General features: G+C 43.5%; 1 protein-coding gene across 10 annotated transcripts in view, besides 1 other annotated feature; it reads right to left on the bottom strand.

Annotated features, from left to right (window-relative positions):
* The window catches only part of S100Z (S100 calcium binding protein Z), a 102940-nt gene that overhangs the window by 73344 nt on the left and 16939 nt on the right, over positions 1-12657 (bottom strand). For 3 of the 10 annotated variants that reach the window (XM_011543241.3, NM_001437779.1, NM_130772.4), the window contains exons 2-4: positions 9326-9444; positions 4110-4306; positions 1776-1936 (exon numbers count right to left, since the gene is read on the bottom strand). In XM_011543241.3, the coding sequence (XP_011541543.1) occupies positions 1778-1936; positions 4110-4250 (300 nt within the window). In that variant the 5' untranslated portion in view covers positions 4251-4306; positions 9326-9444 and the 3' untranslated portion in view covers positions 1776-1777. Of the gene's footprint in view, positions 1-1381; positions 1937-4109; positions 4988-9325; positions 9445-10335; positions 10726-12657 lie in introns of those variants that run through there. The other 7 variants (NM_001437783.1, NM_001437782.1, XM_017009171.2 and 4 more) reach the window with 6 other exon arrangements.
* Positions 8565-9262: an enhancer, noted in NCBI's record as "H3K27ac hESC enhancer chr5:76166173-76166870 (GRCh37/hg19 assembly coordinates)". NCBI's record gives its function as "activates a minimal SCP1, AML or CMV promoter by ChIP-STARR-seq in primed H9 embryonic stem cells {active_cell/tissue: H9 hESC(primed)}" and the evidence as "EXISTENCE:reporter gene assay evidence [ECO:0000049][PMID:30033119]".

Here is a 12657-nt window from a genome sequence, read left to right as displayed (position 1 = left end):
CTCCAGTCCCCCATTTACCCTGAGATCCAGACCAGATCATATTTCCAACTTCCCATGTGATATCTCCACCTGGATGTCCAATACCACCTTAAACAGAGCTATTGATCTGCCCACATGCCTTCACACCAAAGTGATTCTTCCCTCAGTCTTTCCCATTTAGTAAAAGGCATCATTTGCTTGATCAAAACCCTAAACCTTACAGATTGTGTTTGGTTGCATGTAATAGAACCAGATAACCAGAGAGCTGTCATTTTTTTCCCCCCACATAATGAGAGGACCAGAAGCAGGCAAGCAAGGCTGTGCAGAGGCTCCTCCATGACAACAATGCCCAGGCTCCTTCTATCTTTTTTCTCCACGGTCCTCATAGTTGCAAGATAGCAGTTCCACCTCCAGCCTCACATCCACATCCCAACAACAACAAAAAAAGACAAGGAAAGACTCAACAAGGTGGAAGACAAAGAGCTACATGGGTTCTTGTCTACAATAGCAAAACATTCCCAGAAATTCCCAGTAGCCTTCTGCTTGTCTCACATTGTCCAGAACTATTACAAGCCCCACACCGGCTGTTAGAGAGGCTAGGAAATATGGCTTTTTAGCCAGGCACATTGCCACCCTGCACAAACCAGGGTTCTGATACATAGAAGAAAGGAAGAACAGATATCAGATGGGCAAACAGCAACGGTTGTTTTGTCATCCTGGACTTCTCTCTTTTCCTCACACTTCACTATGAATCCATCAGCAAGTCCTATCAGTCCCAGCTCCAAAATACTTAACCAATTCAGCTGCTTCTCTTCATCTCCAGTGCTGAACTGCTGGTCTGATATACCATCATCTCTTACCCAGACCACAGCAACAACCTCCTAGCTGGTTGCCTGCCACGATTGCCATCTCTATAGTCCTTTCTTTACACAGTAGTTAGGGTAATCATTTACACGCATAAATATAATCATATCACTCCCTTTCTTAAAATTCTCCAAAGGATCTATCATAGTTTGGGTTCCCCAAGAGGGAGACCCTGAGGCCAGGGTTCGTGTAGAAGTCATTTATTTGAGAGATGCAGAAAACTCAGGGTTGGAGCAGGAAAGTGAGATAAGGAAGAAAAGGTGGCCTCCCTTGGGGCCTACCGAGGCTCAGCCCCAGGGGGAAACAGTGGGAAATAGTGTCAAACACTTGCCTCAGAATTATCCAACCCAAGGGGCAAAGGAGGGTATTTATATGCCAGCTCACAAGAGCTGCTGGCTTCAGCTCTCTCGGCTTGACCACCTAGCCCTGAACCTATCCATTCCCTGACGAAATCACTGAAAAAGCCAGCACTTCTGCTTAGCCGCCTTTCTGCTCATAGACCCTCACACCTTCCATCTGAAACACAGTCACAAGAGAATGAGGAAACCCAGTTAATTTTTTTTAATAGGGTAAGAAGTTCAAAATACAATTTAAGGATATGAATGTCCATCTTAGAAATTTGCCAAATTCAAGTCTCATTTGAAAGTAGCTAAATTTTTGTAATGCCCTCGTTTTGACAAACCAAAAAGATGCATATAGCCTCTTAATAATACAGGCAAGTTTCAAGTAGGGCATATGAGATTTAGAATATCTACATAAAGTCAATATTTTAAGGGGCACATAATTCAATAGTAGCAATTAATTATTAATATATGCACTGGATATTATAGCTATAAATGACATTACTGGGTCTATAGATCTGAACGGTATAAATGAACATTAAGTACATAACTTTGGATATATTTCTGCCTTTAGATGAGCTTATTACTTACCTTTATTTTCCTTTCTTCTTCAATTGTTCTACAAAGTAATCATTACAAGCAACTGTCAGAGCTGCCACCATGACCACGAATTCATTAAAATCCACTTCGTTGTCCTTATTGGCATCCAGGTCCTGCACTATCTTATCAACCAACTGGGTTTCCTTTTGGCACTAAAATGAGAAAGGAAATTTCTAACTCCCTGGCTCTGAGGTTCATGATGACAATTGAAATTCATCTTCCTTTTATTTACATTAAATTCCTAATTTCCATTTATAGCATCTAAAGACATTTTCTAAGAACCTATTTACAGGTAGGTGTAAACCAGCCACGAATTCTAAACGAATCTAGCCCCCTGCCCCAGCTCCATATAATCCTGGCTCAGACCTAGAAACCAAGAAAAGCAAACAGCAGCTGATCAAAGTGAGTGACTGTTGCTAAAAACACATTTACAGGACATCACAGGTTGAGAGCCAGGACACTAGGAGATAGTCGAGTGACATAGAAAGAGGGAGGATTTGAAGCCAAAAAGGAGAAAAATACCAACGAGCGAATTTGAGCAAATCGCGTAACATTTTAAATGCTTTTATTTATAAAATTGGGAGGATAATTTCTATCCACACATTTCAGGGATACTTCATCACACTTTTGAAAGTGCTTAGAGCACCAGGGTCGCTAGATTTAGCAAATAAAAATACTAGATACCTAGTTAAATTTGAATTTCAAATAAACAACAAATAACTTTTAGTTTTAGTATGTCTCAAGTATTGTATAGGACACAAAATATTTTATCTGGCAGCCTACTTAGCACAGTGTGCCTGACACACAGAAGAGAGGCACCCAAAGAAAGGTAGGTCTTATAAAGATGCCTGCATTTTATGGGTGGAAAGCAAAGAGAAGAGGGAAGACAAGGTTCACGAAGGTTGGAACTGTGAAGCACCCACCTCTCCTGTGACTGGTGTTGATGAGGAGTGTTTCCAAAAGCAGTTCATTTCCTCCAGGAAATCCCCATGCCCCCCTCATTTTCTGCTAACCATTAAATGGTCAGAGAAAAACTTAATTGATCAAAACCAACTTGATTAAAACAATTATAAATTGTACTTGATTAAATAAATGTGCGAAGTTTGACCTACTGAGTTTTTATGCTAAATGTTAAACAGTACAGTAGCCAAAGTTGGCCCCACACAGTGGCTCACGCCTGTAATCTCAGCACTTTGGGAGGCCGAGGCAGGCAGATCACTTGAGGTCAGGAGTTCGAGACCAGCCTGGCCAACATAGTGACACTCTGTCTCTACTAAAAATACAAAAAACTTAGCTGGGTGTCGTGGTGCATGCCTGTAATCCCAGTTACTCCGGAGGCTGAGGCACAAGAATCACTCGAACCTGGGAGGTGGAGATTGCAGTGAGCCGAGATCGTGTCACTGCACTCCGGCCTAGGAGACACAGCAAGACTCCATCTCCGAAAAAAAAAAAAATACAGTAGCCAAACGGAATGAGAGGAAAAGAAAAGTTTGTGGGAATTCTAAGATCACTATAAAAATGTCGTGAAGACTAAGTTAAAAAATACTTTATAGAGCTTTTCCCAAATAGAGGGTGGGGAGAAACATGTGTTGTAATTAACAGTCTCTGTAGTCTTAACACAAGGTTTGGAGAGAATAACATCACACGAGGGTAGCATATTGTGCTAAAAATCAGTTTAAGTCAACTCTATAAACACCAGCGTGAAGTGTTTTCCTTGGAGGAGGCCCCAAACGCTACAATGTACGGCTTCATATATTAATCTCTCAAACTCCTGGCTATTTTGAGAAATGAATCTGTTTGCTACCCCACTGGTCACTGGCCAAACACATCCTTCTATCAATCCCAATCAGTCTGTGCTCGGCTGACAAAGCTCTCTAAGTATTTGCCATTCACTAGAAAATTTGCCACCATAGCATGAAGTACCCCACCTCTGAAGGTAAAGTACCCCTTCACCTCTGGCCCAATACATAATTTACAGACAGCTGGACCAAGCTCCAGGTATAACTAGCTGTAACTAGTTATAACTATAACTCTGGCTATAATTAGCTACATCTTTGCCGCACCAGAATGTTAATTGGTGAAAGTCAAAAATACAATTTTTACCACTTAGAAACCCTAACCCCAGGTAACACGAAAAAGGGCACATGCCTATGTACACAGAAAACAAACGTCTCCAGTGTTTGCTTCCCCTATATTTTGAATCTCTGTACAAATTTGGCTGCATTTGTGACAGAATCACAGGACAGTATGAACCCAAAGGCTGTCCTGGAATCTGCACCTCATCTACCCTCAAATGAATACAGCATTTACAAAGGCCTGACTCACCGAGAGGAATTCCGTGAGCTCTCGCTGCAGGAGCAGTTTCAGTTCCCCCTTGCTGAGCTTGAATCTCTTCCTTTCCTTGCCAGAATAGCGGTGGAAGATTCTAATCATGGTGTCCATGGCCATCTCGAGCTGGGTGGGCATGTCGGCAGCAGAACTGACCACTCCAGAAGCAGGCCACCAAACCCGGGGAGAAGACACTTGTTCAGAATAAACAGATGAGGAAACACCAACACTTTCATTAAAACAGAATATTACAATCCCCCGAGTCAGCTCGCCACACAAGTGATGGTTGTTAAAAACATAATAGTCTGCGCAGGCGCGGTGGCTCAAGCCTGTAATCCCAGCACTTTGGGAGGCAGAGATGGGTGGATCACAAGGTCAGAAGATCGAGACCATCCTGGCTAACACGGTGAAACCCCGTCTCTACTAAAAATACAAAAAAAAATTAGCCGGGCGCGGCGGCGGGCGCCTGTAGTCCCAGCTAGCTACTCAGGAGGCTGAGGCAGGAGAACGGCGTGAACCCGGGAGGCGGAGTTTGCAGTGAGCCGAGATCGCGCCACTGCACTCCAGCCTGGGCGACAGAGCGAGACGCCGTCTCAAAAAAAAAAAATTAATAATAATAATAGTCTTTCATTAAAGAGTGTTCCACCCTTGCTGGGGCAAGCTGCAAATAAGCACTTCGCAGCTGAGTTGTTTCTCCTCGCTAATCCCTACACCCCCAAGAGGTAGCAGCTCCAGCATATTCATAAGACAACCAGGTAACAGGTACAAAGTCAAACTAAAATATAGAATTTAAAAATAAATAAAAATAGGAAGGAAAATACCTACCTGTTCAACAGATACACAGCTCTGTCAATGGTTGTTTACCATTAAACTATAAGCATTTATACGTGGGGGAGGGGGAAACGTTCTCCCCAGCACACCTGTTTCCGGGAAGATGAAAATTGCCAGTGACAAGAGATTCAAAGGGAGGTGCCTCTGCTCCGTATTTAATCACCAAAATGAACAGGTGTGAGCTGCTGCCCCAAGGGTCATTGAAGAAGGCTAGTGCTCATTGGGTGCATTAGATAAGAAGGCAAAGACAAAGCAAGAGGAAGCCTTATCTCTCTTTAGGGGAGTGTGGATAGAAATGCAATTAGTTGCTAGGAAGCTGATGATGGGGAAGAACTCTAAAAATAGGGGAGCAAAGAAGAAACACTAGTTCCAACCTGGAGATGACTCAGCAAAGCCAATAGCAAGGACAAGGGAGTAAATTCATAGTAGATTAAACTAACCCAAAGGACAGTTGAAAAAAAAAAAAAAAGAGGAAGTGCTCCACGCACTGATTTAGAAAGGTACAAAGCAGTGCTCCCAACTGTGTAAAAAAGAAATAATACATGTGTATGTGTGCTTGCAGTTACCTAAGGAGTCACTGAAAGGAAACAAAATATAATACTATGTTGGGAGCTGTCAGGGGTAAGGGGGGAAAGGGTAGAACAGAGTGGTTGGGAGTAAGACTTCCCAGTGTACACCTTTTTAAGTGATTTTAACTTTTTCAGTTATAGGAATGTATTACCTAATAAAAAAGTTGAAATAAACCTCAGAGCAGCTGTGTGTGCAGGAATCCACAACAGATTTCCAAGTGAGAGAAACTTAATAAAGAAAGAGTCCATGTAAAAACCAAAGCCAGATATTGGCCACTGTGCTTTTAAATCCTGCCTGTTCTCTCAGGACTGAAACTTAATTATACGGAAAGCAAGCCAGGATCTCCTTTTTATTTCCCTTCAACAAAGTAGTCAGTATGTAACCTCAACCATCCCATCTGCCCCTGGCCTTGCTGCCTGGCTACTCCACTGCAACCTCCCTGCAAGGTTCCCAGGAGGTGTTCACTGTACACCTAACACAAAATTTTCAAACATATTCAGGCTGGGCACAGTGGCTCAATCCTGTAATCCCAGCACGTTGGGAGGCAGATCACTTGAGGTCAGGAGTTCGAGACCACCCTGACCAAAATGGTGAAACCCTGTCTCTACTAAAAATACAAAAATTAACTGGATATGGTGGTGCACGCCTGTAGTCCCAGCTACTCGGGAGGCTGAGGCAGGAGAATTGCTTGAACCCAGGAGGTGGAGGTTGCAATGAGCCAAGATCACGTCCCTGCACTCCATCCTGGGTGACAGTGAGACTCCGTCTCAAAAAAAAAAAAAAAATTGTTAGTTTTTATTGTCAAAGTAATATAGGTAAAATAATATTTTGAATACTTAGGAGTATGAAATAGTAAAATTCTCTCTCACCATTCCCTACCCTAGTAATTACCCTTTGTAAATTTTTCCTGTGTGGGAGGCAGTATCATGGTGGCTAAAAGCATGAACTGCCTGGCTTTACCTCTCACCTCTGCCACTAGTTGTGTGATCCTGTGCTGGTCAATTAGCATCTATGCTGCATTTTCCCCATTAGTCTAAATGGGGATGACCATAGCACCTACTCAGAATGGAAAAAACAAACTCTATACAATATTTATTTTATTTATTTATTTATTATTATTTTTGAGGCAAGGTCTGACTCTGGTTGCCCAGGCTGGAGTGCAGTGGTGCCATCACAGCTCACTGCAGCCTCGACCTCCTGGGCTCAGACAATTCTTCCATCTCAGCCTCCCAAGTAGCTGGGACTACAGGTTCACACCACCATGCCTGGCTAATTTTTATTTTTATTTTTGTATTTGTAGTAGAGATGGGGTTTTGCCATGTTGCCCAGGCTGGTCTTGAACTCCTGAGCTCACGCAATCCGCCTGCCTTGGCCTCCCAAAATGCTGGGATTACAGGTGTGAGCCACTGCACCCAGCCTTATTTTATTTATTTTTTTAAGACAGAGTCTTGCTCTGTCACCCATGCTGGAATGCAGTGGCCCAGTAATGGCTCACTGCACCTCAACCTCCCAGGCTCAAGCGATCCTCCTGCTTCAGCCACCTGAGTAGCTGGGACAACAGGCACATGTTATCATGCCTGACTAATTTTTTTATTTTTGTAGATATGGGGTCTCCCTATGTTTCCCAGGCTGGTGTCAAACTCCTGGCCTCAAGTGATCCTCCTGCCTTGGCCTCCCAAAGTGCTGGGATTACAGGCTTTAGCCACCTTACATTGTCTCTGTGAAATACTTAAAGAGGTTTATTTTGAGCCGATATGAGTGACCACGGCCCAGGGAACTGTCTCAAGAGGTCCTAAGAAGGTATGCCCAAGGTGGCAGGTTACAATTTAGTTCATTATTTATTTATTTTTGAGATAGGGTCTCCCGCTGTCACCCAGACTGGAGTGCAGTGGTGCAATAATGGCTCACTGCAGCCTCGAACTCCCAGGCTCAAGCAATCCTCCCACTTCAGTTTCCTGAATAGCTGAGACCACACACAGGTGCACACCACCATTCCTGGTTAATTTTTTATTTTTTACTTTTTTTAGAGATGAGGTCTCACTATGCTGCCCAAGCTGGTCTCAAACTCCTGGGCTCAAGTGATCCTCCTGCCTTAGCCTCCCAAAGTGCTGAGATTATGGGCATGAGCCACTGTACCTGGCCAAAATTTGGTTTTATATGTTAAGTTATAGGCGAAGTCATAAATCAGTATATGTAAGGTGTACATTGGTTTGGCTCAAAAAGGCAGGGGTATGGGGCTTACAGATCACAAGTGGATTCAAAGATTTTCGGGCAGGGCCCGGTGGCTCACGCCTGTAATCCCAATACTTTGGGAGGCCAAGGTGGGTGGATCATCTGAGGTAAGGAGTTCGAGACCAGCTTGGCCAACATGGTGAAACCCTGTCTCTACTAAAAATACAAAAAAAAATTAGCCGGGTGTGGTGGTGCATGCCTGTAATCCCAGCTACTCAGGAGGCTGAAGCAGGAGAATCACTTGAACTTGGGAGGTGGAGGTTGCAGTGAGCCAAGATCATGCCACTGCCCTCCAGGGTGGGTGATAAAGCGACACTCTGTCTAAAAAAAAAAAAAAAAAAAAAGAGTTTCTGATTGGCAATTTGTTGAAAGAGTTAAGCATTGTTGTCTAAAGACTTGAAGTCAGCAGAAAGAAATTCTTGAGTTAAGATAAAGGGGGCTGTGGAAGCCAAGGTTCTTCTTATGTAGATGAAACCTCCAGGTAGCAGCCTTCAGAGAGAATAAATGATAAATGTTTCTTTTTGGACCTTAAAAAGTGTCAAATTCCTAGTTAATTTCTCCTAGATCTGGAAAGGCCTAGCTGCATTAATGGAGATTCTCTATAGATGCAAAATTTCCCCCATAAAAGACGGCTTTACAGGACCATTTCAAAATATGTCAGAGAAGTCTATTTTGGGGTAAAATATTTTGATTTCCTTCATGGTCTGCTATCTGTCATGTGATGCTACCAGAGTGAGGTTGGAATTTGGTATCCCAAAAGGAAAGAGGTACAATGAGGCCTGTCTGACCTCTCTTCCCATCAAGGCCTGGAATTCAGTTGTTCAGGTTTCTCTGGGGTCCCCTGGGCCAAGAGAGGGTCTGTTCAGTCAGTTGAGGAGCTTAGGATTTTATTTTATTTTTTTCTTTGTAGAAATGGAGTCTTGCTATGTTGCCCACGCTGGTCCCAAACTTCTGGCCTCAAGCAATCCTCCCACCCCAGCCTCCCAAAATGCTGGGATTATAGATGTGAGCCAGCGTGCCCAGCCTCCTCCTCATTTTTTAAAGCACTTTCCCCTCTCCAGCTCTTAAATGTTGTTCCCACTGTGGTCTCAGCTACTCCTATAATTTCAGTCTCTCCCAAGATTATATTTCTTGGCCCAGATCTGTCTGCTAAGCTCCAGAACCATCTATCCAACAGCCTGCTGGACCACATCTCTACCTGAATGTCCCACAAGCTTTTCAAACTCAATTCGGACTGTCCACTAAAGAAAAAAAAAAATCAAGCTTTTAGAAAGTTAAAACTAGTTTTACTCAGGAATCTTACTGAGGACTATAGACCAAGGTCTACATCCTGGGAGCAGCCCTTCAGAGGGGTTCTGTGAGACTGCTCCAGCAAGGTAGCTCCACCCGCAGCTTCTACACAGGCCTTGGGGGTTCACTACATGCAAAGTCACATCAAACTTGCAGAAGTTACATTAAAGCAGAATCACATCAAGGTTTGTGTATAAGAGTACATCTGGTATAGATTACAGAGGCATCATCCCTAACCCCATCAGACATTATGTTACCTATAGGAAAAGGCATTAATTAGGCTTATTTACCTATTAAGGAATGCGATGACTCAGCCGAGACACGGGACTGTATGCTGTATCCTTTGTCTTCAAAGCATTTTTCTGGAGAGCTGGGTGTCTACACAGAGTCAGGGGCTTGTGAAATTACACTGGCAAGCAGAAATGAGTAAATACGTCTTTTTACGTTTTCTACTTTATCTCACGGGACCTAAGCAAAACTCATCCCCTCAGTCATCTCAAACATCCAGTTCCTTGGTCACACCAGCTTCTGTCACAATTTTTTTTTTTTTTTGAGACGGAGTCTTAGTCTGTCACCCAGGCTGAAGTGCAGTGACAGGATCTCAGCTCACTGCAACCTCTGCCTCCTGGGTTCAAGCAATTCTCCTTCCTCAGCCTCCTGAGTAGCTGGGATTACAAGTGGGCACCGCCACGCTGGGCTAATTATTTTGTGTGTTTTTAGTATAGATGGGGTTTCACCATGTTGGCTAGGCTGGTCTTGAACTCCTGGCCTCAAGTGATCCACCTGCCTCAGCCTCCCAAAGTGCCGGGATTACAGGTGTGAGCCACTGCACCCAGCCACAATTCTTAAATACCAGCTAAACTGGTCCACTTCTCTCCATTCTTCACCACCTTTGGGGCCTTTTAATTTTTGGTCCCTATTACTGCAGTGGCTTCCTTACTGCTCTTTCTACTTTCTACCATGCCCCTCCATTCTCACGTCTATTCTGCTGTCAGAGAAGCTGATCTAAATCACAAATCAACACCCACGCTCCTGGCCATTCAAAGGGTTGGCCCTGCCTGCAAACTGACCATGGTGTTGGGAGCTCCCATTCTTCCATGCCTTTGCAGGTTCTGAGCACACTGTGTGGAAAGCTAATTCCATCTGCTCCTTTAAGATCAGTTCAAATGTCATCTCCTCTTGGACATTTTCCTGCACTCTTCCCAACTACCCACCCCACATCCCCCCATCTCTGATAGGTGCCTTCTCTGTCCTCTCCTATTTCCTACCTTATGTTTGTTTTTCTCATCATTGCACTTACCATACATTCCCAACATCACGTTTTTTTTTGTCTGCCGTATGTTCCCCACCCTCCACACTTTGAATGAGTTCCTTGATGTCAGGGTTGATATCTGGTTCATCTATGCATTCCACAGCATTTAGCACAGGGACAGGCATATGGAAGTGCTCAGAAATCCTCACTGATGGATGAATTCATAAACAAATCAATCAGAGAGGGAAACATAAGATTCCCCAAGAGTTGGCCTTGTCTAGTTTAACTGCCAAATAATTATTTGATTGCCTTTATTCCACATAAAAATTTGCTTCATCAAAGGGAGAAAGAGAAACAGACAGACAGACAACAGTCATGTCAATGAATATAAAGAGTTTGAGCTGGATGTGGTGGCTCACGCCTGTAATCCCAGCACTTTGGGAGGCTGAGGCGGGTAGATCACTTGAGGTCAGGAGTTTGAGACCAGCCTGACCAAAACGGTGAAACCCCGTCTCTACTAAAAATACAAAAAGCAGTGAGATGTGGTGGCATGCGCCTGTAGTCCCAGCTACTCGGGAGGCTGATGCAGGAGAATCGCTTGAACCCAGGAGACAGAGGTTACCGTGAGCCGAGATAATGCCATTGCACTCCAGCCTGGGTGTTGCAGCCAGACTCTGTCGCAAAAAAAAAAAAAAAAAAGAGTTTGAATTTGGAATAAAATATTATTTAATTCCAAATTAAGTTGTTGAAGTTATAGATGCACTAAAATCAGTAAATCTTACAGAGTATATGGGTCTCAACAGTATTATATTTATATCATATTTAACCATAAAATAATTTACTCGGAGAACTCAGTTGGCAGGTAAAACTCCTAATAGAATAGATATTGAAAATTGTAATGCTGTAATTTGATTCAAGAGATGAAAATGTGGCTTCTACATCTTGGCTCTTGGGGTTTAAAAGCAAGGTGATTTTCTCTTTGTTTCTACTGGGCTTTGGCAGAGCTAAATATATCCTTTGGTACATGCTGCCCCTTAGTGTCAATCTCCAGGACTGCACCTGGCAGCCCTCTAATTCCCAGAATGCACTTGAAATCCTATTTATAAAGCCCTTTCTTCAGGGGCTTATCTTTATATAACCCAGCCTCAGCCCCTGCCCTCCAGGAGACTTTCAGAAACAAAGGCAATGTCAAAAGGCTCAAAAAGAATCTGTCAGGCTAGAGACACAAATTTACGGGTGACATGAAATCCCAGGAGGGGGAGACACACCTGTTGATAGCACAGAGGGTTATCCTATGCACCTTGCTTGCTCTATTAATTATTTCCATTGCACTTTGCAATTTTGGTATGAGTCATAGCCCTTAGGGCGTAAAGGTCTGAGATAGTGTGCAAAGAATGGGAGAAATGATCAGATTTGGGGGGAGCTTAAAGGTAATGACTGTGGCCGGCCGCAGTGGCTCACGCCTGTAATCCCAGCATTTTGGGAGGCCAAGGTGGGTGGATCACCTGAGGTCAGGAGTTTGAGACCAGCCTGGCCAACATGGCGAAACCCCATCTCTACTAAAAATACAAAAATTAGTCGGGCATGGTTATGCATGCCTGTAATCCCAGCTACTCGAGAGGCTGAGGCAGGAGGATCATTTGAACTCAGTTGCAGAGAGCTGAGATCACACCACTATACTCCAGCCTGGGAGACAGAGTGAGACCCCACCTCAAAAAAAAAAAAAGAAAAAAAAAAAGTAAGGATGATTTTAGAGAAAAAAAACTGGTAAATATCCACAAAGGTGGGAGCAAAAGGAGAAAAGATATTTGTAAGTGAGGCATTGGTCATGGACTCTGAAAGACAAGACGTATGTGAAGAAGAGGCATCCTGTCAACCGGGCAGGCAGACACCCTCCTTAGACTGAGGATACCCCCAGAGTGTCTGAGCCAGGAACTGCCCTGGGGCCAAGACTACAGTCATACAGGAGGCTAAGTTGCTTCCTCCTAAACTCTCCAGTTTTTGTCTTTTTATGTAACCAGATTCAAATGTTCTATCATTTTCCTAGCAACAGCATGAGGAATCTCAGTGGGAGGGACGGACCTCAGAAGGGTGGACACTTTTGAGGGTGGTGAGTATGTTTATTATCTTGACTGTGGTGATGGTGTCACTGGTGTATACAGATGTCAAACTTACCAAAGTGTGTATTTTAAATACGTGCAGTTTATTGTGTGTCAATTATAACTCAAAGCTATTTTTAAAAGGAAAGAAAGAAGCTTTCCTAGAATCGCACAACTATGTCGTAGCAGAGCTGAGACTCAGACCCATGCTTGTCTGACAAAAGATAAAATCATGCAGCCATTTAAAATTAGAATTATAAAGACTACAAAA

The sequence above is a fragment of the Homo sapiens genome, chromosome 5, assembly GCF_000001405.40.
Source record: "Homo sapiens chromosome 5, GRCh38.p14 Primary Assembly".
NCBI lineage: Eukaryota > Metazoa > Chordata > Mammalia > Primates > Hominidae > Homo > Homo sapiens.
Note: the sequence above shows the minus strand (reverse complement) of the source record. Positions and strands in the feature narration are given on the sequence as shown.